The 27,502-nt window shown below is 38.6% G+C and overlaps 1 protein-coding gene and 1 long non-coding RNA gene across 5 annotated transcripts in view, besides 1 other annotated feature; one reads left to right on the top strand and one right to left on the bottom strand.

Moving 5' to 3' along the window:
* Positions 1-27,502, top strand: part of LOC105377558 (uncharacterized) — a 38,644-nt gene that overhangs the window by 7,728 nt on the left and 3,414 nt on the right. For 2 of the 3 annotated variants that reach the window (XR_001741926.2, XR_007058383.1), the window contains exons 2-3: positions 12,255-12,377; positions 16,457-16,632. This is a non-coding gene — a long non-coding RNA (uncharacterized LOC105377558). The remainder of the gene's footprint in view (positions 1-12,254; positions 12,378-16,456; positions 16,633-27,502) is intronic. The other variant, XR_007058384.1, reaches the window with a different exon arrangement.
* The window catches only part of NEIL3 (nei like DNA glycosylase 3), a 61,395-nt gene continuing 36,251 nt past the window's right edge, over positions 2,359-27,502 (bottom strand). Inside the window, exons 7-12 of one of the 2 annotated variants that reach the window (XM_047415894.1) lie at positions 22,078-22,247; positions 19,899-20,319; positions 12,950-13,124; positions 9,951-11,338; positions 3,505-3,658; positions 2,359-3,297 (exon numbers count right to left, since the gene is read on the bottom strand). In XM_047415894.1, the coding sequence (XP_047271850.1) occupies positions 11,156-11,338; positions 12,950-13,124; positions 19,899-20,319; positions 22,078-22,247 (949 nt within the window). In that variant the 3' untranslated portion in view covers positions 2,359-3,297; positions 3,505-3,658; positions 9,951-11,155. Of the gene's footprint in view, positions 3,298-3,504; positions 3,659-9,950; positions 11,339-12,949; positions 13,125-19,898; positions 20,320-22,077; positions 22,248-27,502 lie in introns of those variants that run through there. The other variant, NM_018248.3, reaches the window with a different exon arrangement.
* Positions 5,938-6,232: a silencer, noted in NCBI's record as "tiled region #1660; K562 Repressive non-DNase unmatched - State 13:Ctcf". NCBI's record gives its function as "represses a minimal TATA promoter and a strong SV40 promoter by Sharpr-MPRA in K562 cells {active_cell/tissue: K562}" and the evidence as "EXISTENCE:reporter gene assay evidence [ECO:0000049][PMID:27701403]".

The following is a 27,502-nucleotide window of genomic DNA, read 5'->3' as shown; positions in this document are numbered from 1 at the left end:
CATTTTATTAGCACTTTTACTTAACAAGTGTTGCTCTAGGAAACAGCGGTTATAGTAAGCCCACTCTTGGTAAGTTGGGTGAGAACAGGTAATAATTTGCAATGAATGAACGGCATGAAAATAATGACCATTATTAGAGTGGGTTGATTTTAGCTCCAGTTATCATTCATATTTACAATATGCTAGTTCCTTTCCATGTCAAGTAGTCCTTTACAAATTCTCTGTTTATAGGCTTCTCCTAAACTCTACTTGCTTGAAGGTGGCAACTACTCATCTCTTCAGTGCTACCTCCTTTGTGAAGATTCCTTGTGTCCTCCAGGTTGAAATGGGAGTTCTTTTTCCTGTTTTCTCTTTGCATCCTACCTCTCTCGACTATAGTCCTTGTCACATTGGGCTGTAATAGTTACTTTGCATGCTTAATTCCCCCCAAAGACTGTAAACTCCTTGAAGCACTGTTCTTTATTTATGCTTTCACAGTGCCTTGCTGACATCATGCACTTCAACATTTGTTGATTGAACGCTTATAAAAAAGAGGATAACTAGAGAGAAAACAAATGTAAAATATATACAGTAGAACTAATTCTCTGTGAAATTTATGGTTTCTAATTTTATCTATCCATTTTATCCTTGGTAGGCCTATAAATAAACTGAAAACTGTCAAAAAACAATAAACATGTGCTAAGTGTAATTTCATGATACAAAATCTTTAATGCAAGTATTCAGGAATTACCCTGCAAAAGTTTAGCACCATTGATAATATATTCATTTATTCTGAGCCATTTTCTTTGGTTTTTTTAATTGGTCAAATTTTTATTTTAATTCATGGTATGAGAAATGAACTTTTAAAGCAACTGAATTGTATGGAAAATGACACAGCAAATAAATTAGACCCATGTTAAAAGAGAAGGTCAGCTAAATGTCCAAACTTAAGGATATAATGGGCACAGATAAACATAGATTCCAGTCTTCTTTAAGAGGTGGCATTCCCATCTGCTGCTGGTCTCTGGACAAGTGTATAGCAAAGCTGTGTTTGAAGGACTTCAACCTCTTTAGTTATAGTTCCTAGAATATTACAGTGGGAAGGAAACTTTGATGGAACCTGAGGTTCCTTTTAACCACATCTACTCCTGCAGGAGGTCAGTCGCTGAATTTCTCTGATGACATTCCCGGTAGGAGCTAAGCACCTCACAGCGTCCTCATTTCATTTTTTAAAATTCTAATTTTTGGAATTTTATTCTTCTTTTTAACAATCAAACTCATGTATCTTAGTTCTGTTTTTCTGGACGTGCATGGAATAAATATAATTCTTTCTTTTTATCTCAGTCTTTCAGATCTACAGATAGTTGTCATCTTCTACCTAGCATGTTTTCTTTTGTAAAAAAGGAATAGAAAAAAAAGGAGACTACATTTTTTTAAATTTAGAAAAGAAATACTTACCAAATATACGTATTAATTCAAATGCAAATATATATTTACCAGTGGTGCTGTATTTAATGTCACTCAGAAAGAATAGATGGGAATGCAAAAATCAAATTTGAACTGAAAATACAAACAAGTATGAATGATACACGCTCATTAAAGGGATTTACTAACCGACTTCTACTTTTTATCGTATATTGACTTCCAATTTTACAAGTTTCTTAAATCACTGGTGATATCTTTGTTTCCATAATTTTTACCCAAGAACAATATTTATGTGAACGTTAGGAGTATGATCAGAAGACGATGTAAAATGGCAATATGCCGTCAAATGTTAGAATCTGTCTCTCATTTCACAGTGGTACTCCCACCCAATTCAAGACATACCTGATAAACCTCCCTTCCACTTGAAGTCTCCACGTCTGACAAAAAATGGAATAGTTGAGTTTATGCAGCTGTTCCTGGGCTAATTATCTGCAATCATTTCTGATTACTTAATAGGCCATGGTAGGACGTGTGTTTGCTGCTATGTTGAGTTTACACATTAGGCTTTAATGTGCTGATATGGCTAATTGTTGTGCTCACTGCTGCCTGCTAATAGACCATTCCTGAAAATGAGACCGTATCTCAACGGAATTTGCTTGTTTATTTTAAATAAGTAATAACTACAAACTCAGATCCTAGATCCAGTGTTTACCATTTTCAGAAGGCACTTTTTAATGCTGTATCATTTCTAATGCATTTAAATTATTCAGGTTTGAAAAAATGAGTTATTAAACTAAGGAGTCAATAACCAACTCAAGTACATAGATTTAACATTTTTCCTGCTCTATTCAGTTTCCTAAATTGTTTTCTGGTATTGATAGCAAAATAAATTCTTTAAAATGGTGCCAAACAAGCTGAATGTAATAACATAATAATGAGAAAAATAAATGCATATTACAAGCAGGCAAGTATTTATTAATAGGTAAACCAAGATGCTCATGCTAGCGATTGGGAGTGACATAGATATGTTAATATGGAAGGTAGATATGGAATTGTTGTAATGAGACTTTGAATTTGTTTTGCAGTTTTGCATTTTATGATAGCATTTAGTACAAAATGCTAGTATGTAGTTTTAAAAATTTATAAGACTGTTCTTTTGTTGATTACATATATTTGTGTTACTGATTACCAAAAACAGATGCCAAGTGCCCACATAAATATAGATACTTTAGGTGTTCTCTTCATCCTTCCCTTTCTATTCGCAGTCAGAGGATCTTTTTTTTTTGTCTTCACTTTTTTCTTCATCACTTATTTTTTCTTTTGAGACAGGGTCTCGCTCTGTTGCCCAGGCTGGAGGGCAGTGGTATGATCATGGCTCACTGCAGCCTCGACCTCCCTGGCTCAAGTGATCCTCCCACCTCAGCCTCCCACATAGCTGGGACTACAGGTGCTCGCCACCACACCAGACTAGTTTTTGTATTTTTAGTAGAGATGGGGTTTTACCGTGTTGGCCAGGCTGATCTCAAACTCCTGACCTCAAGTGATCTGCCTGCTTCGGCCTCCCAGCATGCTGGGATTACAGGCATGAGCCACTGCACCCAGCTCTTCATCTCTTTTTAACTTCTTTTTTCCTCCCTCATTACTCTTTTATTAGAGAAGTCAATACAATTCAAATAATACATAGAAAGTAGAACAATAGGTTTCTTCCATTCTCTGCTGTTCCCCAGGCCCTCCTTTGAGTACAGGATTTACCCCTTCTCGAATAGATTTCAATGAATGTGACTCTGGAACTACTTGGATCCATCATGGGGTGAAACCATGTGACCCTACAATCTGCTCCTCCAGAAACACTATATAGTCAGTGTTTCCATGCACTTGAAGCCACAATCTCTGCTGCAAAGAAGTAGAGAGAGAAAGAGATTAGTTTTGGTAATAACATTCATTGTTCTGATACCTGATTTCTATCTATAGGATAATATATGCCTAGGTTAATCTGAGGCTTTGGCTCTCAAAATTCGTCATGTATGAAGGACTTTTATGAGTTCTTTCATGTTTCCTATTTCTAAATTTTTGATGTCTCATTGGAACCATAATACTCACCCCAGCATCTCTTCCAAATACTTTTATTTTGAACTTCTGGACTCTGTTCCCTAAACAAAAACAGCTTTTGCACTGTTCCTTCCATCCTTAATCCCCTTGCTGTAGGGTGTAGTTCAGGTCCTTCTTTAAGGTTATCGCCATTGTTATTTCCTCTCTGAAACATTCCAGGAGAATAGTTGTGACACATAACAGTAGCAGGGCTATTACTGATAAAGATAATAAAATTAACTCAAGAGCTTTAACTGCCAATGCTAAACCCTTCACGTGGATATTTTATTTTATCCTCACAAGAGCCCTGTTAAGAACTGTACTGTTATTGTCACCATCTAACAGATGAGGCATCTAAGACCTAGCACACACTAGCCAAAACTTCAAACATTGAGATCGAGGTCGTATGGTCAAGGTCACAGTCAGGGCTGGTGCAGATCTTGGGACCGGCAGTCTGACTCCAGGACTCAATTTTATTCAGAATCTGAGTGACTAACCACCATGCATACCATCTCCCACACCACTGGCAGGATTGATCATTTTTTTCATTTGTTTGGGTTCCTCTGCGTCATCAGTTTAGCATGTATCTCAGTGTGCATTGGCTTGCTTATCTGCCCATGGGCTCCTTAAGGAGAGAGTGATTTATTTATTTTTGTATTCTCAGAACTCAGAACTGGCCCATCCCAGGATCCATTTATAGCCATGAAATGGGAATTGATTCTTCTTTTACGCATTTATCTCCCCATTTTCCTTCACATACCCTATGATCTAGCCAAACAGGAATATTTCTGTTGCTGACACCTTCTAGTGCTGCTGCTCTTAGAGATCTTTGTATATGCTATGCCTGCTGCCTAAAATGCCCTTCTACGTATGCAAATCCTCATCAAGGTGACATGTCAACTCTTTCCTACCTCTTTCCTGAAGCTCTCCTAGCTCCTGACTCATATGTGAAATTTCCCTCTCTGCAACCTTTAGCACTTTGCTTAAAGTGCTTATTTTCCCTTATCATTTCTTCCTCATTTATGTATCTGCAAGATCGCTTTAAAAATACCTGTCCCTGAATCTTTCACATAGTAGGTGTTCAACAGAGATTAATTGAATTAAACATTTATTTAAATCAGTTGGCTTTGTTTTCTAAAAGACGAAGAGGTACAAAGTCATGGGCATTGTAAGATATAATTATATTTACTCATCTCTATATGTCCCTAAATACAGTGTAGATGTAAGGCAGCATTATTTCTGTGTCTTCTTTCCCTTTTACTGAATGCATGTCCTTTGATTCGATTAATTTTGGCCTGTATATCTGTAAGCAAAGTTCTAGAAAATACCAAAAAAAGGGACTTTCATTTAAACTACTGGAAAGATTTAACAGCTTTTAGATACAGGAATTTTCCAGTAACACTTTTCAATGACATTTCACTGCCTTCATGTTTGAATAGTGGTAACAACGTTAAAAATGTTCAATAGACTGACATTATATTAAACCTCCATCTACAAAGTTTAACAAATATTTACCAAATTTCTACTGTATGCAAAGTACAATACTTGGTAAGATTCTGTGAAGAATAAGGAAGAGTCATATATAATTTCTTAAGCAAGTGAACATTAAGAAATGCAGAAAGGACAAATACAACATGATGCGGACCATAGTATACTCCAGAAAAGATATCAGTGCTGTAAAGACATCCACAAAAAGAAGTTTCATCTTTTAGGAACCCCATGAGAACACTTGCTTTTTCGTTTCCTTGCCCAATTTGCCAATACTGATGAACTATAATATACAATGATAAGTACCTTTAGAAAAGTACATGAAAACGGTGGATTTTTAAAAATAAAATAATGGAACTAAAATGTATAATGAGAATTTAAAATGAACTTATGGGAATTTTAACATTGTAAATTTAACATAAATGTTAGAAAAGAAAAATGACCATAATCTCATCATACCACAATTATTTTCATTTGTGTATTTTTTCCCTTTATTTTTCCTACATAGATGACTCTTAGATATTTGTACATATTAAAGACATGCAATTCTGGGTACAGCTACTTTTCCTTAATAAATGAGAAGGAGAATAGCTTATTCAGGGTGTGGGCATCAGTGCTTCACAAAGTTCATTCAAACCATGGCTTGTGTGACACAGACACACTTCCTACTTAACCTACAGAAGTCCAAGTCTCCTTAACTGAAAAATCAGAAATAGCGACAACACCACAACAACAGCAACAAAGTCTATTACACAGAGTGGTCAAGAGAATTAAGTGAAGTGATCTGTGGCAAGTATTCAGCACAGCGGCTGTTGCAAAGAAAGGTTCAATAAACAGTGGCTCTCGAAATCACTGTCTTCCCCACAGTCTATCTGACTCTCAGTTTTTTCTCCCATCATTAAAATATTTTATATTCTTGTGATGCTGGTTTGAAATACCAGGAAATGGGCAGATAAACTCCAAAGAGATGAATACCAGCAGACCACATAGCATCTCGCAAGTTAAGCATAAGGACTAACAGATGCAGGCTCTGAAATCTGACAGCTCTGTCCAGGTTCTGCTGCTGTGGGAGTCAATGTGGTTGATGTGGGACAATAGCAACCGCTTCCCTCCACCTAGTGGTATAAGGAAACACAGGCACAGAGACATCTGCTCTCCCCAACTCCAGAAACAGCAGGCAACCCAGGGGATCACCTGTGCCCACAGACTGCACCAGTGGGGATTGATAAGGAGCCACAGCAGCATCAGAAGAAAGAACAGAACTGCATCGCAAGGGCTCTGTAAATGACACTGTCATTGAAACCAAAGCCTACAGTGCAGGCCAGAACCTACACACTAAACCTCAAGAGGCTGATGGCATGCTAAGATAGAAGATTAAAATAGGATCTAAGCTCTCCTAACATAACTGAAACATCCGAGGTATGATGAGAAAAAAATCACCTGTCAAGCTGAAAACCAGGAAAACAGCCATCTGAATGAGACTAGATGCTCAACTGAGGGCAATACTGAGATTCGTCAGATTTGGGGATTATCTCAATTTTAAAGCAGATGTCACAAAAATGCTTCAAGAAATCAATTATACATGCTCCCAAAACCAAAGGGGAAAAAACTAGAACATCTTAGCAAAAAAACCCCAGAAATTATATTTTTAAAAAACCAAGTGGAAGTAATAGAAATGGAAAATATAATAACTGAAATAAAACCTCACTGAATGATCTCAATAGTAGAGTGGAGATGACGGAAAAGATTCAGTGACCTTGAAGACAGATCAATACAATTTACTCAATTGGTCCAAAAGAGAGAGAAAAATAGACTGGAAAAAAGGAAGAGAGTCTCAGGGATCTGGGCTATGTTCCTTGGGGATCTCAATAACAATCTAATAATCTAACGTTTGTATCACTGGAGTCTCAGAAGAATAGGAAGAGTATGGGATTGAAAAAGTATTGGAGGCCTGGCGCGGTGGCTCACGCCTGTAATCCCAGCACTTTGGGAGGCCGAGGCAGGCAGATCACCTGAGGTCAGGAGTTTGAGACCAGCCTGGCCAACATGACGACAGCCTGTCTCTACTAAAAGTACAAAAATTAGCCAGGCGTGGTGGCAGGTGCTTGTAATCCCAGCTACTCAGGAGGCTGAGGCAAGAGAATCGGTTGAACCCAGGAAGCGGAGGTTGCAGTGAGCCGAGATTGTGCCACTGCACTACAGCCTGGGCGACAAGAGCGAGACTCCATCTCAAAATAAAAAGTATTGGAAGAGATAATGGTTGCAAACTTCCCAAATTTGGTAATAGATAATTAAAATACATCATTAACTTTGTACAATTAGAATTAATATGGTAACACTTCACATAAAATGTAGAAAACTCATATAATAGATCCTTCAATCTCTCCATCCTTGATGATATAGTTGTCACATATATCTACCTGCATTGTAAATTTCACAAGCTAATTTCCTGCTTTAAAAGTCCCATATGTTTTAAAGAAACTAAAAGGAAAAAAATTTTATATTCCTTTAGATATTTGCAATTTCATATTTTCTGTATTGCCTCTTGAATATTTGGATTTCCACCTGGCTTTATTTCCCTCTAGCATTCACTTCAATGAACATAGTTATAATAGCTGCTTTAAAATCTGTGTTTACTATTCAACATCTGGGCCATCTTAGGGTGGGTCTTGGTTGTCTTTCCTCTAAAACTGGGTCACATCATTCTGATTGTTCATATGCTGTGTAGTTTTGGACTGTATCCTGAATAGTATAGGTATTATATGGTGAAGACTCTGGATTTGGCATGCAGTAATTTCTCACTTCACATCATCGATAGGTTCATGGAAACTGTGACTTTAAGCAAAATAATCTAAGACAGAACCAATTTTCACAAAGGCTAATTGATATAAACCAGAGTTAAATTCCTACAGCATATTTCTGGTCACAAAAACATCATCAAACTTCTAAACAGACTTCTAATGTTAAACACTAAAATAAACGTGAGCTGTACATATATTTAAGAAAGATTAATAAAAACAAAATAGTTACTCAAATTTTGGTGAATGAATTCATTCACCCTCCACACTGCAGTCAGAGTAAATTTTTTTTCTTTTTCTTAGTCACCCAAATTTTGGAGGGACTGATGGTGGTTGTAGTGGTGATGAGTTAACTCACAGAATAAATGTTTGCAAATGTTTCATATTGTGTTGTTGTGCATTTGTATGATTATTGTATTGTATACTTGGCAAATTTTTATTGTCCTATAATTCACATTCATTCATTTTCCAACCCACTTATTCCAGTTCTGGGTTGCAGGTGGTTGGAACCCATCCTGGCAGCTCAGGGCACCAGGTGGGAACTCTCCCTGGCCAGGATGCCCTCACATGACAGGGCAACTCACACTCACATGCTCACACTGGGACCATGAACATGTGCCAGTTTACCTAAAGCACACATCCTTGGATGTGGTAGGAACCCAGTGTCCAGAGGAAAACTCACGCAGACATGTGGAGAGCATGCCAACTCCACACAGATAGTGGCCTTGGCTGAAAGTGATTTTTTTCTCATAGTTATAACAAAATGATGTTGAATGAAGTCTTATTCAAGGACCTGCTGTAGTCTTCTAAAGAGTGTTGATGTATTTATCTCAGCAGCAGATTAATTTGGTTAGATTCAAATTGCAAAATCTCTTTCTTGCATGGCAGATAATATCTTGGCTCAGCATTTTTTTTTTTTTTTGAGACAGAGTCTCACTCTGTCACCAGGCTGGAGTGCAATGGCGAGATCTCAGCTCACTGCAACCTCCACCTTCCAGGTTCAAGCGATTCTACTGCCTCAGCCTCCACAGTAGCTGGGACTACAGGTGTGAGCCACCACGCCCAGCTAATTTTTGTATTTTTAGTAGAGACAGGGTTTCACCATGTTGGCCAGGATGGTCTCCAACTCTTGACTTCGTGATCTGCCTGCCTCGGCCTCCCACAGTGCTGGGATTACAGGTGTGAGCCACCGTGCCCGGCCAGCTCAGCTCTTTTATCTTAGGTTGCTCCGTGTTCAGTTTGTCCCATGCATATATGGTTCAGTGGTCAATGACATCAGCAGAGTTTCACAGAATGTGGGGCTCCCCTCTCCATGTCCTTTCTGAGATTTCCCCCTTACTTCCCAGTGGCTGTGGCTGCCAAAATTGCCTGCTGATTCTGTAGATGAGAAATACTTCAGGTTTTCTACTGAAGTTTTGGTTGGCCTACTTGATTCTGTTTTTGTTCTGCCCTCAGGACAAAAGCTGTAAAAAATGGGAAATCACCTCCAGCCTATTCTTTCTTCTAAATTTCACAGCCCTCAAGAATCTGCCTGCTTTAGTTCACTCTCCAGCGGTGCTTTTGATTTTGTCCGGAATCTAGAGTTATCTGTGGGGAGGTTGGGTTCAGCTGGAGCTCACCAGGACACAAGGAGGCAGAAACCCCCACTGAGATTTTTTATGAGAAATTTTATCATAATAGAATTAAGTCTGAAAGAACGCTGTCTTTTAAACAATCTTTCCTTCCAAACAGGAACTTGTTTTTGTTCTTGTTTGAACCAGAATACATCTGGTTCTCTGGGACTCTCAGATGAAAGTTTCTTCAGGCCGGGCATGGTGGCTCATGCCTGTAATCCCAACACTTTGGAAGGCCAAAGTGGGAGGATCTCTTGAGCCCAGAAGAAACCAGCCTGGGCGGTATGGCAAACCCTGTCTCTACAAAAAATACAAAAATTAGCCCGGCGTGCTGGCACACACCTGTATTCCCAGCTACTTGGGAGGCTGAGGCTAGGGGATCGCTTGAGTCCGACAGGTTGAGGCTGCAGTGAGCCAAGATCATGCTACTGCACTGCAGCCTGGGGGACAGAGTGAGACCCTGTCTCAAAAAAAAAAGTTTCCTCATATAGATCCTGTACATTTCTTATTAGGATAAGGATGTAAGTTTATCATATAACCTATAGTTTCATTTACTTACATTTCCGTGTAATTAACATGCACATTTTTGGAGACCAGACTTCCTGGAAGTCCTTTTTGCAGTGGACCTTTTTTCCTCTTTATTGCACAATTAGCTTGCAGTTTCCTTCCTAATGTACTCTCTATGTACTTCACATCAGTGCAGCTAAGATTGTCAACTGTCCAGTCCAGTTCCTGGTCTGTTCTGTAGAGTCACTGCCCTGTTGAGCAATTTGGGTGAAGATCACTCATCCTAGGTTGGTCCTGTCTTTTCAGTGTAGAGTCAAAACAAAATACTTATAAAACTATAAAACATGTTTTGTTCTTGCCAGTAATTTCATATGCTGTTAACTTCTATAGCTCTGCATGGAAAAATTAGTGGTAGAACGGGAAAGTGGTTCAAGCCACCTTTGTGCTGTCCTTTAAAAAAAACAGATTCAACCAGCTCTGAAAGGACTTTTTTTTACAAGCATACAGAAACACCTTAAGAGTGACTTTTTATCGAGGAGGAACAATCATAGTGATCTGTGCTAAAATTTAAATACAAGCAGCGGGGAGAGGGCGTTAGAAAAATATAAATCAACCTCTCTTTTAAACGCCTACACGCAAGTTCTTCTTTTCTTAAATGTTACTTTTATAGTCTGCATCCACATCACTTTACATGAGAACACAAATTTGAAGTCATACAAGGTTTGGCATAGCCCCAGCCTCTAACAGGAACTTAATGTTGGTTGAACAGAATTTTAAAAATAGACTTGTTCATAAAGGAGATCTTATTTCTTATTATTTAATAAAACAAGAAATATCTTTAATCATATATTATAAATAGTGTTAGTACATGAGAAATGTATTCACTACAGACAGAATATCTTATTTTATTGTGTCGCATAATCCTTTCCTAAAAAAAAAACACTGCTTCTCCCCAGTTACAAGAGACTAAAAGCATACTAAAAACACTTTATCGTCATTACTAAATGCATTAAATACACATCCTAAATGGAATATGCTGTATATCCGATGAAATACATAGAACGTTCATCAAGGCAAAAGAAAAGACGTAGCCAACAATGGAAAGATGGCACACACAAGAAAAAAAAAGAACAGTTCTCAAATATTGCAGTAACTTTTCAATGTATCATAGATATTCTATGACTTTTCTATGAAACAGAGGAGGACCAAACATTATACACAGTTTGAAGAGACTAAATGCCAGAGAATCTACAGATATTAGCATCCAGGAATAATTTTTATTCCTGGCCCATTTTCTGCCCACTGGAAAAAATTGCATTGTTTTTCCTTCCCAAGAGGACACACAAAAAAATTCTTTCCATTGTTAGGTCCAATCTTCAATACTGTTTTCATGGTGGAACGCTTGCCATGGTTGCAGAATGGGAAGGACAAATCTGCCCACTGCAGGAAAAAAAGGTAAATTTACAAGTTTATACAAAAGTTATCATGATGTACAGGCTAACCCTAGGCACATGTGATTAGTGCCATATAGTCTTCACTGCTGTTATCATTAATTTGACATTGTAAAATAGACCAGTAATTAGTCGTCGCCTTTAAAAAAGCTTATATCCTAAAAGAAGCATCTCTCTTACAAATTTGTTTGAATCACGCAGAAAATGGCCATAATTCTGAGCTTCCCTTTATCTAAAGGTATATTTACAGAAGTTTCTTCACTTTGTTAAGAATAATTGAAAACTATCAAAATCTTGCTGTAATCACCAATATCCCTGCTATAGGTCTGTTTCAGTTAAACCTGTAAGATCAGGTGAGGTGCGGTGGCTCATGCCTTTAATCCCGGCACTTTGGGAGGCTGAGGTGGGAGGATAGCTTGAGCACAAGAGTTTGAAACCAGCCTGGGCAACATAGGGAGACCCTGTCTCTAAAAAAATCAAACAACAACAAAAAAAACCCTGTAAGATCAAAGATTTGTCATGATTTTAATATTAAACTTCCTTAGGAAAAGAAAGAATCAAATACTTACGCAGACTGAATTAGACAGATTCTATTATATTATTCTTACTAATTTTGACCTCAAGAGAGATATGAAAAAGGCTATTATATTTTTAGCAATACCATGAATATTGCTAATAATATTTTCCCATTACATCTATAAAAGCTTCTTGAGGAGGAAATCTGTGAATTTTGTAGGGTAGAGTTACACTGTGTTTAGAGATTGAGGTCTAAAATCACTATCCAGTTTTCCCCGGGAAATTCCTTAAGAAGGTATCACATTGAAGACAGATATTTGATCTTTCAAAAAGTCCACCAGAAAATCTTTGCGCCAGCACTGAAACATATCAATATTTTCTTTTTTCAGTTCTATTCCAGATGAAGAGTAACTAGAAAAAATATGTATCTCTGAACATTAGAATCACACTCAGCCTGATGAGATGCTCACACCGAGGAATACCGGAAGTGAGACTGACTAAACGGACCTGAGGTTCTTATCTCCTATCTTAGGTTCATCTTTAGGGATACATCCACAGACTGGAAAGGCAGGAGGAATCGCCTATAGCTAAATTGCTATGGTGCCATCACTTTTTTGGGTCAAGTGTGGTTAAGTAGGATTTGATAAGGTTATTGTAAATCCCAGGCATGTAAATTGCTTTTCTTATAAACCTTTATCCAATGCATAAACCAAAGGTTTTGATGTAGCGCTGAAGTTAGGAAGAACAAATTCTTACCTTGGATTATTAGCCACATATGTACTACTAGTACCTACTAGTCACTCAGTGTCTTTCTAACTTTACAAGCTAAGTGCAACACTTCTAGACTTATGATTATAAATATGATATACTCTAACAATGTAATAGCTATTATTTTATTAAATTTCTTGTGGCTGAACATCTGAATTTTAAGTTAGTCAACATTCAAGCTTTAGACTGAATGCCAATATGGCTATTTCAAATTTAAAGGTAAAAGGTAAAACTAGGAAAGTATTGCTATTTGTTATACATTAATAACCAAAGCATTTAATTACATTTTAGTAAGCTAGATAAATCTTACACATACTTCAAAAAATCCACATTGTGCTTCTCTAGGTAGAGGACAGGCATAAAACTGCCTGCCCTTGTTTTCCCCATCCTTCCCCACAACTCGGAGAATGCAGAGGCGGTTGTGTTTACTGCAGCGAGGGCTGTCAGGATTTAAGGTACGAGGGCCATCTGTCATATTAATTTGAAGTTCACTGTAATGACAGGTTACAAAATAAGTACAGCATAGGAGTGCTAAGGGACCATTCACACCACTTTACCCCCACATGTCAGAATTTCACTTGTACCAAGAAATTCTATCAAAAAGTGGACCTCGTTAACATTAGGTCATTATGCAAAAGGCTGTCTTTATTCTTTGTTTTCCCAGGTAATTCTAATTTATTTCCAAAGTTACCTATGTACCTAAAACACGTAATTTAACTTTCTAAAGAACAAAAGCAGCTGGACTGTGTATCCAGTAAATCAAATTTTATTTTTCATTTGTGATATTCAGTTCTTTTCTTACCCAATATCACACTGTAGCCACTTCTTTTTCCTCTAAAATATTCTCAAGTCCAGGTTCTCCATTCCCACTGGCCCCAAAGTAGCTAGTCACAATCTTCTCTAATTATTTTCTCATCGGTAGCAAACTCTCATCAATGGCTCTGACAAGGCCATAGAAATCACTCTCTCTGCTGTCCACTTTAAAGACAATTTTCTATGCTTTTCTTTGATCAAGGCTACTATAATAGTCGCAATCATATTCCTGCAAGAAACAGGCTGCCTGGCAGAGAGCAAAAATGTGAATTTTGTAAAGCTAGCAGGGAAGCTTTATTCTCCCCCATAATTAGGATCAAGAGTATTTGGAGGTTGCCCTCATACCCAGTGTACACAGGCTAGAAGCTGGCCTTGTACTGTAGCTGTATAAACAGAATTTTCTTCTTGAAAAGAAGCTTATTTAAATTTTCTGTGTTGTGCATATTTTAATAATGCCTTTAAGAGAATTAGTTTTTTAATAAACTGGTTGAAGAGAAAGTGTTCACATTCATTAAAACCAGAAGTCCCCCTCTTAATATTCCTATTTTTTTTTAACTCTTTAATGATAAAACAGTTAATCCATTCTCATCTTTTCGGTAAATATCTAAAGAACAAAAATATCATTCTTAAATAATTGTTAAAAAAAAACTTAAAAATCAAAGGTGATTTCCCTTTTTCCTTGCTTCCTAAACTGCATTTTTTACACACTTGTTTCTATGATGCCTCAATGCATCATATCTAATTGAAATGTTCAGAGAATGCAATCTCTTATTTGTGATTAAATGGACTGAAATTCATTTATATAAAGGATGCTTAAATATACTGCTTTGAAAATGTTTGCTGGGATGAACTCAAACATTCTGAGGGCAGTTTTTGAAGGTTTCTTCAATAGCCATTTGTAAAATAAGAGCAGCTGCAGGCATTGCTAAATCAATCGTCACCATTAAATACTTCACCAGCAACTATTTTGATGGTAACTTTTCCAGGGTAGAGGGGTGGTGGCTGTATTTTCAAGTCATGGGTAATACCAGATCAGAAATAGGAAAGCTGAGAGGCAGAGGACTTTTCTTTTCCACAACCTTTCAGTTCACCAACCCCCTCCAAAACTCCATTTCACCAATCTCCTCCAAAACTTTAACTTCAAGGGAAGCCAGATATCTGGACAGTTGTAGAGAAGTCAAGAGATTTCACAATTAAAGCAAGTGGTTCATAAACAATGCTCTCTTAAAATTAAAGGAGAAAAGATTAAGAATATTAACAAAATTAATGAAATGATGCATTCTTATTAAAAATTGTGTGGACACAAAAACAGTTTTATATATTATTTTAGAGGCGGCTGTTTTGGATAACGGTTGAACATTTTCTAACCTACTTGTTTCAACCTAGAGAGCTCCAGGGTTCCACATATCCAGGGAGAGGTTTAGATTCTGTATTAAAATTTTTCTGGGGAGAAGGGCCAAGGTAGAAGGTAGGATTAAAGTAGAAAGGAGAGGCCCAAATGTCATCTCTCTGCCTTCACTTCTGCCTTCCACTCCATTTCTTCCCTTAAAAATTAAATTAAAAACATAGCCACAGGCTGGGCATGGTGGCTCACGCCTGTAATCCCAGCACTTTGGGAGGCTGAGCCGGGCGGATCACCTGAGGTCGAGAGTTCAAGACCAGCCTGGCCAACATGGTGAAACCCCGTCTCGACTAAAAATAGAAAATTAGCTGGGCGTGGTGGCGGGTGCCTCTAATCCCAGGTACTCGGGAGGCTGAGTCAGAAGAATCCCTTGAACCCGGGAGGCAGATGTTGCAGTGAGCTGAGATCGCGCCATTGCACTCCAGCCTGGCAACAGAACAAGACTCCTTCTCAAAAAAAACAAAAAACAAAAAACAACAACAAAAACATAGCCACGTGTGATCTTATTCTTGGTACTCAGAGTGTGGTCCACTGACCAGAAGCAGCAGCATCACCCGGAGCTTGTTAGAAAACACAGACATATCCACCCCTACTCCTGATTGCCTGCAGAATCAGAATCTGCATGTTAGCAGGATTCCCAGGTGATTCATATGCACATTAAGTTATGAAGCACTGAAGTAACGTAACCAAGATACTAATGCCACCTGTATCACACTGGCTCTAAATATGCACAGCTAATCTTAATTTTATGATAGACAACATTATCCAGGATAATTAAATGTTCTGATTAACTGAGGACATCTTAGTTCCTCTTTGTTTTATAAAAACTTTCTAAAATATAGCAGATTTCTTACTTAAATGTAGCATACAGAATTGTTCATTTTCGTGATCATGACCATGATTTTGAATATTAATTCTGGGTTATAAGTGATCTATTAATACAACAGATCGGGGCTGGCAAACCTTTTCAGATAACGTATTTTAGGCTTGCTGGTCTTACGGTCTAAGTTTGTTATCACAAAAAGCAGCCATAGATAATATCTAAACAAATGTAAATAAAGCTTTACACAAACAGGTGGTGGGATGGATTTGGCCCTGCTGGCTATAGTCTGCTCATGTACATGTCATTAGAATCAAGAACAATGCCCGAGGCATAATAGATTCTCAATACTTATTAATAAATAAAACTGAACAGAGACCAGACAAAAACTATCATCAAGAAGGAAGACATTACTAAGCACAGATCTGTAATTTTAAAGTGAATATTATTTTTTCATGGTCAATTTATCACAGTTTAACTTAGGGGTGTCCAATCTTGGCTTCCCTGGGCCACAGTGGAAGAAGAAGAATTGTCTTGGGCCACACATAAAATACAGTAACCCTGGTGACAGCTGATGAACTTAAAAAAAAAATCACACAAAAAACTCACGTTTTAAGAAAGTTCACAAATTTGTGTTGGGCTGCATTCAAAGCCGTCCAGCCCACAAGCCTATGGTTGGACAAGCTTGGTTTAACTCATTTTATAGATAGGGCGATTCATTATAATAAAAATACTGTCTGAATTTTTTGGATTAATCGGTCTCACTGAATGTAGATTTTGTCATACAGGATTATTTCGAGGATTAAAACAAACAAAAGTGAAATGACTCATTCTGGACGGCCCCAGGTGGTTCTGAAATCCTGAGACTGAAAACTCCAAGAAGCAACCAAGAGACAAGGACATGGTGTCAGTACTTGCACTGGTGATTAAAGACAGATCTTCAACATCCCTGACGGCAGCAAATGTGAGAAAATATTAATGATTTTGTTATTGTCATTTCACCCTCCTATGTGAGCCTTTGCATCAACGCAGGAAAAATTTCAGCCTAAAACACATGCATTCTTTGAAACTGCATCACTGTGTTTTGCTCTGTGTTTACAGTAATTGGATCGACAACTTAAACTGTTTCTAGTAATTATTCTTAACTGTTTAAAAATGGGTTCAATCATCTAATTTATAAGCCAATAGCTGGATGGAATACACATCTATCTCAAGACCAATCAGAAAATATGCCTCATCAACACTGCATGGATTGTGTGGTAATGAGAACAGTAATTAAGAGAACAAAAGTCAAAGTAATTATCATATAATATTAAAGAAAAAATAAACTGGCTATAAATTATGAATGGACCACCTGCTTTAATAGTATTATGTTGTGAGCTTCTGCTAGGCATCTTGTCCACAAGATGAACACTATAGCTGCCAGACAAGGAGAAAAATGAAATAAATGACAGTAATTTGCAATTTATTCCTTGTAAAGTAGCTGGGTGCAGAAGGGCTGCTGGGTGAATTTATTTCATCACTTGACATTTATTCTGCTAGTTGATCTTGATTGATTGTGGAGTCTCAGTCCTGGTGTTCTTATATTCAATACATACACAGGCTGCAGCATTCCTAAGTAATGCTGTGCACTGTGATTAATCATATGATCCTATTACTAATGGCTTATGAAGAAATCATTTAAATTTAAGGTTACATTAATGTTTTTTTAAATCCCTAATTCATTAGTTAAAATGTCTGAGATTTTCTACAAAGCATTAAGGAAATAAAAATATGCCAAGATATTTCATCTAGGTACAACAAATGCCACAATATTTTAAGATGATCACTTCTACTTTCCACTTAAGCCACGGAACAGAAAAGACTGTTTGGAAATGATTTTCTGTTCCAGGACAGCCTCCCAACTCAAACATTCTTAATTAACTCCTTAATGAACTTCTATCATGAGGCACTAATTAGGGTTAAAGTGAAAACGTGGTGGATTTATCCAGTCAGTTAAAAGTTTAGCCCCCTTAGCTTACTTCAAATGTGAGTATATGAACAAAAGTTAAACCAGTTATCATAAATGATTATGAACAAGACATTAAAAAAACCAGTCAAGGATAAATCATCAGGATTAACTGATGGTAAATTTAGAGCTGGAATAGGAAACTTGGAGTAAACACATCTATTGAGCAGAGACTGTCTCAGAATTTGTTATGAAATAAGCTTAAGGATTCCTACAGGTTGCTCTAGGAGTTTACACCAAATGGTCCCTCACCCCACCGCTGAGAGAAGGCATCTACCCATCAGTAAAGGCACAGCTAATAAGAGGAAAAGCCAGTGAATCTCAGAATTCCACCTGAGATTACTCTAGGTCCCAACCAAAGTACATCCCTCCATAGCCGTAGGTTCCCAATCCATGAATTCAACCAACCTTGGATCGAAAATATTTGGAAACAAAAAATAATGAAACAATAAAAAAATTACACAAAATATACAGTATAACAATTATTTACACAGCCTTTATATTGAATTCAGTATTATAAGAAGTAATGCAGAGATGAGTTAAATATATGAAAAGGTGTGCATAGGTTATATGCAAGGACTATGCCATTTCATATCAGGGACTTGAGCATCTGCAGATTTTGGTATCCTGGGGGTCCTGGAACAAATCCCTTGAGGATACCGAGGGATGACTGTAACTCCTTCTCTGCCTGTCTCCCATTGGCAAGAAAAGACATACATGGGAGGACGACCCTCCATTTATATGTTATAAATTCTCCACTTATTTAAAAATGCTGGATGTAAGTCAGCTGCTTTCTGAAGGAAAAAAGAAAGCAGCTGAGAAAAGAAAATGGTGGAGAAATGTGTCCTGTGTTGGAGATATAACATCGGGTTGCCATAGTTAGGAATTCCAGATAAAGGGACTGGGAGGGCCAGATAAAGGGGGAAGGAGGGTCAACAGAAAATTGTTTCAGGAGCTGCCGATAATCATTAAGGAAAAGAGAGGATGACGTTATGTATTAAAATTTCTGTATCACAGGTGACAAAAATGAGGGTGTTCTCCTGGACATGTAGCTGGAAGTCCTATAAAATATATCTGCTCTGGTAGTATTTCTTAGTTAGAATTACAACTTTTGAATTTCAGATACAAAGTAGCAAGTATGCTTTTTAGGACTTTTAGTTAAAGAACAACGCCAGGCGTAGTGGCTCACGCCTGTAATCCCAGCACTTTGGAAGGCTGAGGTGGGCAGATCACCTGAGGTCAGGAGTTCGAGACCAGCCTGGCCAACATGGCGAAACCCCATCTCTACTAAAAATACAAAAAAAATTAGCCGAATGTTGTTGCAGTGAGGCAAGATTGTGCCATTGCACTCCAGCTGGGCGACAAGAGCAAAACGCCACCTCAAAGAAAAAAATAAAAATAAAAATAAACACCATCTCGCATGACTGTTTGAGATCCATCCACGTTCTTTAACAGAAAGGTCACTACAGGCACCTCAGACCCCTCCTTTTAGAACACAGTATACTTACTAAACTTTTATAAAAAATAGTTCCCCTTTTGGAAGACTATCTTTCATTGGAAGGAAATATTAAAAAATGCTAACTGGTTATTGATAAGCAGTATGATTATGGGTGACAAATATTTTTCTTTATACTTTACAATATTTTCCAAATATTCTGTATTGATCATGTGTATGGTTATTGTCAGAAAAAAAAAAAACCCAACTTTTCATACATGTAGGAAATTACGTTTTTCATTTCCTTCCCTTCTCTAACATTATAATCTAGAGAAGGGAAGGGAGACAGACTACTATAATAGTCTTTTAGGGTTTGATTCATGTTACCAAAAGTAATTCAACTTCCTTACCAAGGGACAATTTCTGTCTTCTTAAAACTTAATGCAACCAGCCGGGCATGGTGGCTCAAGCCTGTAAATCCCAGCACCTTGAGAGGCGGAGGTGGGCAGATAACTTGAGATCAGGAGATTGAGACCAGCCTGGCCAACATGGTGAAACCCCGTCTCTACTGAAAATACAAAAATTAGTCGGGCCTGATGGCATGTGCCTGTAATCTCAGCTACTTGGGAGGCTGAGGCAGGAGAATCGCTTGAACGCGGGAGGCAGAGGTTGCAGTGAGCTGAGATCACACCACTGCACTGTAGCCTAGGTGACAGAGTGAGACCTCGTCTTAAAAAAAAAAAAAAAAAAGCAATTATCTTAAAGACCAAGGTTAAAAGCATCATACCTGTTAGAATATCCAGGGTTGCAGCTTTTAAGCTCTGGTGATGAGTATTGGGCTGTTTTCGGTTTTTTATGTGCTGGACTAAATAATTTAGATTCTGAACTGATTGTAGGTGATATGTTTACTTTGCTGGATGGTTGAGTTATATCGTTTGTTGTCTTCTTGGAGGGGTGCTGTATATCATTCAAACAAACACTAGCAGGAGGAGAGTTTTGAAACTCCTCATCTAGTATCTGGTTTTGCTTTGTTTTTCTTTCCAAAGTACTGGATTTATTGCTAAAATCAGTCAAGACAAGAGTTGTAGTTCCAAATGCAGTTTTTCTGTTGATCTTGACTTCTGTATGAGGTTTTCCAAAAGTATTACACGGGTACTTCATTAAGTGGCTAAAGACAGTAGAATTTTCTTCACTCTTGAGCACTGAATCTGGAAGGAGAGAGAAGTAATTCTGCAATAGTCCCATAAATATAACATACTGATTATGTGAAACATCTTTTTATTTGATTAAAAAATTTACTTCACTTTATTACAGTGAACTAATATATAGAACTAATAACACAAAGTTAGCTCAGACAAGTCAGAATTAATCATCTTCTGGCTAGGAAATGAAATATTATGTAAAATGCAAAATTTCGACTTACAGAAACCCAGACATGGGTTTAACAAAGATTTATATTTGCTTTTTATGATGTTTAAGCATTTAAAGGTCACTCAGTTATCAGTTTTGCTAATATTAGGCAAAGCATTAAAAAGTGGTAGTTGAGAGATGATATCCCATAAAGCTTTAGGTCAGCAGTTAGAGACCTGTTTCTAGACTACTAGGAATGACAAGACAAAGTGAAAGGCTTATTTAAAATAAGTAAAGATGAATTACAAAGACTTAACATCTTCTTTTTTTTTTTTTGAAACGGAGTCTTGTTCTGTTGCCCAGGCTGGAGTGCAGTGGCGCGATCTCGGCTCACTGCAACCTCCGCCTCCCGGGTTCACGCCATTCTCCTGCCTCAAACTCCCGAGTAGCTGGGATTACGGGCACCCGCCAGCACGCCTGGCTAATTTTTTGTATTTTTAGTAGAGATGGGGTTTCACCATGTTAGCCAGGATGGTCTCGATCTCCTGACCTCATGATCCACCTGCCTCAGCCTCCCACAGTGCTGGGATTACAAGTGTGAGCCACCGCGACTGGCCAGACTTAACATCTATTAAATACAATGTTTCACAACAGAGTATCCTAGGATTTTGGAATCTGTACTATAATACATTCTATATTATCATTAAGATGTCTTTCTGACTCAGAAACATTAACAAGAAAATAGTTAATGAGACATATAAATGCATTTCAGAATGTTGAAATCAATGTGGCAACCTAAGATTGTGTTTTTCCATGGGCTCCGCCTCTGCTGAAGGACACTGAAGAGGGAGGGATGGAAACAGGAGATGCAGCACAGCAAAGCTGTGCAAGGGGTGATGTCTGCCTTTCTGGCCCAGGAAACAAAACACAATATGACAGTTGACACAATGCAGGGGTGCGTAAGTCAGGAATGAACTTTCTCATCTCTAATTGAAGAAAGAAATAACACTTTGAGAACACAATAGAAGCCGCTGCAATGAGATGGCTCTTAATCACAGGTTTCCTCTGAGGTTTTACATGCCCTAAATGCATGAAATCGTGAGCTATAAAGAGTTATTTTGAAGGGTTTCAATGAAATCAGTACAATTGTCTGGATACAGATTTTAATAGCACGGGGTAGAAGGGATAAAGAAGAGAAAAAATTCAGCATTTTTCTATTCCACCTGCAAAGAGATTCTTACAGAAATCCTCCCTTTCAATTTATGCAACACTTGGACTGAATAACAAACTCGAAAGTTGCTGAAATCTGCATAAAACAAAGCTTTATTGAATAATTCATTAGAAACAGTAGAGAACAGATGTGATCATCTCCATTTTTTTGAGATACAAAGGCACATACTGTTATAGCACAAACATGCTTTCCCTCCCTGTTCAAAAAAAATACTCAACAGAATATTAGCATGGTTTACATGTGAAAACTGGCAATTCCTTTAAACCTTTGAGAAAGAAATTTTATTTAGTTATGGAATATCAAGATGGAGCAAGATATATTCCTGACTTTGTATAATTAACCCTCTTAGAAATGTAACAAACTCAAAATCAAAATTCAGTCTTACCAATAGGCCTTGAGGTCAAGCAAGCATCACATGCCTTAGAAGAGGGCTTATTGATTAAAGTACACACCACACAGGTCCAGTGCTCTTCCGACTTCCGAGCCACGGAGTCCATAACATGATCCACCCTGCTAGATGTCCAACTGATTATAGTATTTCTAGTCGGTAGCTTGCTATAAGATAATTTTTAAAATTAATCATTGTTATTATTGCCTTGTTCTTGTCTGGATATTTTAGAAATGATTATAGAACCATTAATACCCCAATGCTATCTCTTTATTATTGCTTGGAAGTTAGTACTGTATCTTAGAGTCTTTTTTTTTTTTTTTTTTTTTTTTTTTTTTTTGTAGAGATGGGGTCTTGCTCTGTCATCCAGGTTGCAGCGTAGTGGCACCATTATAGTTCACTGCAGCCTCGAACTCCTGGACTCAAACAATCCTCCCACCTGAATCTCCTGAGTAGCTAGGACTACAGGTGCACATTGGTCTGCTTGGCTAATTTTTAAATTTTTAGTAGAGATGGAATGCTGTGTTGCCTAGGCTGTCTTGAACTCCTGGCCTCAAGTAATCTTCCTGCCTCAGCCTCCCAAAGCGCTGGGATTAAGGCATGAGCCACTGCACCTGGCCAGAGTAAAATGTTTTCACCTGGACCCCCCTTTAACAACTAATTGTTGTTAAAGTGAGAAACATCAAATAAAAGTTATTTAGAGTCAAATAATCGAGTAGCTTTTTTTTAAACCAACTAAAAATATTTGATATCACATTAGGAAGTATTTCTCAAATAATGTTTTAAGTAATTGGTACTTTTTTCCCAAACAAAATGAAAATACCTTTATTCAATTAAATTATGGGAAAATACACCTATGCAGAAATTAGAGGATTGAAAGATGTGAAAGTTTTATATTTACTTCATGTGCACAGAAAACTCAGGAAACTCTAGAATTTCTCTACAGTATCTGCTGAGCACTATGTAAATTCATTAATTCATAATGATGAAAAAAGATATCTCTTTGTGTTGTTTCCCTTCATGTAAGACTGTTTCATGGTGGATAGCCAATTAATAGATTAGCAAGCAAACAATAAAACCCTGATTTTTGGCCACAAATATAAATCATGATTCTCCATCTGAAGTCCTTCATTGACCATGTATTTTTACACAAAATGCCTTTATACGGCTGTGACATAGTCCTACTCTCTAATGCACAGCTAGCTATAGGTCTGGATATAGAGCATGTCACACAGTTAAGCAACCATGGCAGTATCACGGATTCCCTTCATGATCCCAAACATTAATACTGAACAAAGCTCTTGCAGGTAAAGGCTATGTATCTTACATTTCAGAACATGAGTTCTTTGACTTTCAAAGGTAACCTTGTCTCCTGTGACATTTTGTTCCTTACATATAATTACACTAGTTTTAAAATTCAGGAGTGTCTGGTAAAATAATAAATAGAATAAGAAAATCTGAAAGTAAGATACATCTCATTAGGATTCTTTTATCTTTACTTCCCTTGACTTTTAATGCCACTCAGTATTTATTATCCCTATGGAATATCAGATCTTCTACAGAATTTGTTTATTTGACCTAATCTCTGTCCTCTACTAACTTACTTTGAAAGGCAGCATGATGCATTTATCTATAATTAAACAAACACAATTTAAATGACTTTTAGATTTTCCATGTGCTCCAACTTTTCCCTATTTTCATTTTCTTCTGTCCTAAAAGTTTCCCTGATCATAAGGAGAATTTTATTGTTACATATGGAGGCTTTGGAAACATTCTTTCCTTTCTTTACTGCTCTATTTCTTAATCACTCATTAATAAATTCTTCCCAATCTCCACTTGGATGTGTAAGAAGAATCCCAAACTTAATGTTTTGTAGTAGGATGAATAATGGCCTCCCAAAGACATAGGGCACAATTCCAGGAATCTATAAATGTTACTTTATAAAGAAGGAGGGTTTGCAGATGTAATTAAGGATCTTGGCGTAGAGAGATTATTTTGGATTAGCTGATGGTCCCTTAACCCAATCACAAGTGTCTTTATAAGAGAGAGGGAGGGGGAGATTTGATACACACCAAAGAGAAGGCAAGGAGACCACAAAGGCAGAGGTTGCAGTGATGTAGCCACACATGAAAGAACGCTGGCAGCACCGGAAGCGAGAAGAGGAAAGGAATATGATTCCCCCCAGTTCCTCCAGAGGGAGCACAGTCCTACCCACACCTTAATTTTGGTTCAATGAAACTGATGTTGAGCTTTTAGCATCCAGCGTTTGAGTGAATGCATTTCTGTTGCTTTAAGCTACCAAGGTCATGATAATTTATGATGGCAGCCAGCGGAAATGAATACAGACAAAATTCATGACCCACGAGGCCGGGCGCGGTGGCTCACGCCTGTAATCCCAGCACTTTGGGAGGCCGAGACGTGTGGATCACAAGGTCAGGAGATCGAGACCATCCTGGCTAACACGGTGAAACCCCGTCTCTACTAAAAATACAAAAAAAAAAAAAAAAAAAAATTAGCCAGGTGTGGTGACGGGTGCCTGTAGTCCCAGCTACTCGGGAGGCTGAGGCAGGAGAATGGCGTGAACCCGGGAGGCGGAGCTTGAAGTGAGCCCAGATCACGCCACTGCACTCCAGCCTGGGTGACAGAGCGAGACTCCGTGTCAAAAAAAAAAAAAAAAAAAAAAAAAAATTCATGAGCCACCAATCTGCAATTCTACTATTCTATCTCATGTCAGGAAATGGCATCAGTATCGCTCAATTCATCAGGCCCAGACCTAGAAGTCATCCTTAACACTTCCTTTTCTCACATCCCACTTCCAGTCCATCAGCAAATCCCGTGGGATCTGCTGCAGATGCAAATTTACATGAAGCAAAAGAAGTTTAACTTTCCATGGCTTGACGTGTCCTCTGCACACTGGGGTGGGCAGCATGGAGAATGGGAGCCATAACTCGACCACATGCTGGGGACTCAGAGGATTGCAGGCAGCGGTAATCCTGGCGCCTGGGTGCTGCCAGCATCACCTCACATCTGTTCAGTGCCCAGGGAAACTATTGCCCTGGTGACCTCAAGGAGCAGGCGGACTCTGCCCTGAGGCTTGAGGAGAAGGACCTGAACAAAAGATACTGCATCGTTCCGAGCTCACAGGCCACCATGATCCAGGCTGCCAGGCCACTCTACCCCTATACTACCCACCCTAACTCAGAAACAACCTGGTAGAGGGGGGGAACCTGAGGCACCTGAGGAAGATCAAAGGGCTGGGGTTCTCAAAGTCAAGTCCTCAGGCCAGCAGCATGGGCGTCATGTGGGAACGTGTTAGACATGCAGATTCTCAGGCCCCTCCTCAGACCCACTGAATCCCCAGCTCTAGGGGTGGGGCCCGGCAATCTGTGTTTTCACAAGCCCTTCAGAAAATGCTGGTACACACTAAAGTTTGAGAGGCACTGCTCTTAGGGTTTCCTTACAGAGAAGTACTGCTTAAAGAAAAGATAGAGGAAGTTGGAGATGTGTCACTATCAACAGCCAATTGTGAAGCTAAAAGTTTTCTCATCTAGCCGTAATAAAAGATGTAATGATATTGTTGGTGGTCATATGAAAAGGCAATCAAGGAGTTTGCAGCCAAAAACATAAAGGAACACAATTACACAGCTGTGTCAGGCAGTGAACTAATAATATCTCATTTTTCTGATGTTTGTGGTGTTTAAAAAATATAATTTGTTGTGATTTCTTATTCTACATATTCACATTAGGACCTAACGTTGTAGTCATAATTTTTTATTGTTTTTCATAAATAAGGGCCCCCAAATTATATAAATTTCTGGCCTTAACCCTAACTCAACTTCCAAAATTATCCTAAATTCAACCTTTTTTTCCCACCACCTTCTCTCTCTTCCCCGTCACCAGCATTTACCACCTGCACTACTGTTGAGAGCCCCCGATGCTGCCGCTTCACTCTGGTTCCATGACCGTCTCTATTCCACACAGCAGCCCAAATCATCCTCAGAAAACCCAAGTCACTTCATGCTGCCCTCCTGCTCAAACTCTCCCAGTGGCTTCCCAGCTCAAAAGTATTGGCAACAGTCGCCAGAGTGATTAATCTTTTCAAACATTAAGTCAGTTATTTCACGCCCGTTCAAAACCCTCCAAAGGCTCCCCAGTCTACTCAGAAACTTGCCTTGGCCAAGCCGACTCTGCATGCTCCTTGGTCCCTCCCAAGCAGAGGGGCTGCCTCTGTCTCTCATTCCCTCTGCTTGGTTCAGTCATACATGCCTTCTTTCTCTTCCTTCAACAACTCAGAGGCTTTATGCTTTTCTGGGCTACCTTCTTTGAAATATTTCCCCCACCCTCAGATTGCTACAAGTCATCAAATCTTTTCAACAAAGTCCTCCCCACGGACTTATCTGCTACCCTATCAAAAATGAGCCGTCTCCGTCACTATCCGCTACTGTGGCTCATGTTCTTGAGAACACTAATCACCACTTATCATCGCCTCATGTCTTATACATGTATGTATAGATAGGTTTTTTCTTTTTCTTTTTTTTTTTTTTTGAGACGGAGTCTCGCTCTGTTACCTAGGGTGAAGTGCATTGGCGCGATCTCGGCTCACTGCAACCTCCACCTCCCGCGTTGAAGCAATTATCCTGCCTCAGTCTCCCAAGTAGCTGGGACTACTACAGGTGCACGCCACCACACCCAGCTAATTTTTGTATTTTTCGTAGAGATGGGGTTTCCCACATTGGCCAGGCTGGTCTCAATCTCTTGACCTCGTGAACCTCCCTCTCAGCCTTTTAAAGTACTGGGATTACAGATGTGAGCCACCATACCTGGCCCAAGAACTATAGTTTGACACATAACCTAAAGATCTTTACCAGAAATGGTCTGAGATGATAGCTGAATCTGGTAGTATTCGCCATCACTGGGAATGCACGGAGGGAGGAGAGGCAGAAAGGTCCAATAGAGAGCCTTGCTGTTGCCTTAACTTTGATGATCAAAAGAAAAGGAGCCCATGAAAGAGAGGCAGAAGAAACAGAGCTATAGGAACAAAGATGGGAAGTGATGGAGAGAATTAAATTCAACTGAGTCGGCTGGCACGGTGGCTTATGCCTGTAGTTCCAACACTCTGGACAGCTGAGGCAGGAGGATTGCTGGAGGCCAGGAGTTCAAAACCAGCCTGGGCAACATAACAAGATTCCATCTCTAAAAATAAAAATAAAAAATTAGGCAAGCATGATGGTGCATGCCTGTTGTCCCAGCTACTTGGGAGGCTGAGGCAGGAGGGTCACCTGAGCCCAGGAGTTCGAGATCACAGTGAGCTATAATCACTCCACTGCACTCCTGTCTTTAAAAAGATTAAAATTTTAAAAATTTAAAAATAATTCAACTGAATTAGAGAGGGTGAGGCTTGAAGAAGCCTATTTAAGACCTC

The sequence above is a fragment of the Homo sapiens genome, chromosome 4 (assembly GCF_000001405.40).
Source record: "Homo sapiens chromosome 4, GRCh38.p14 Primary Assembly".
Classification (NCBI taxonomy): domain Eukaryota; kingdom Metazoa; phylum Chordata; class Mammalia; order Primates; family Hominidae; genus Homo; species Homo sapiens.
The sequence above is the reverse complement of the archived record's forward strand: the minus strand, read 5'-3'. Positions and strand labels throughout refer to the sequence as shown.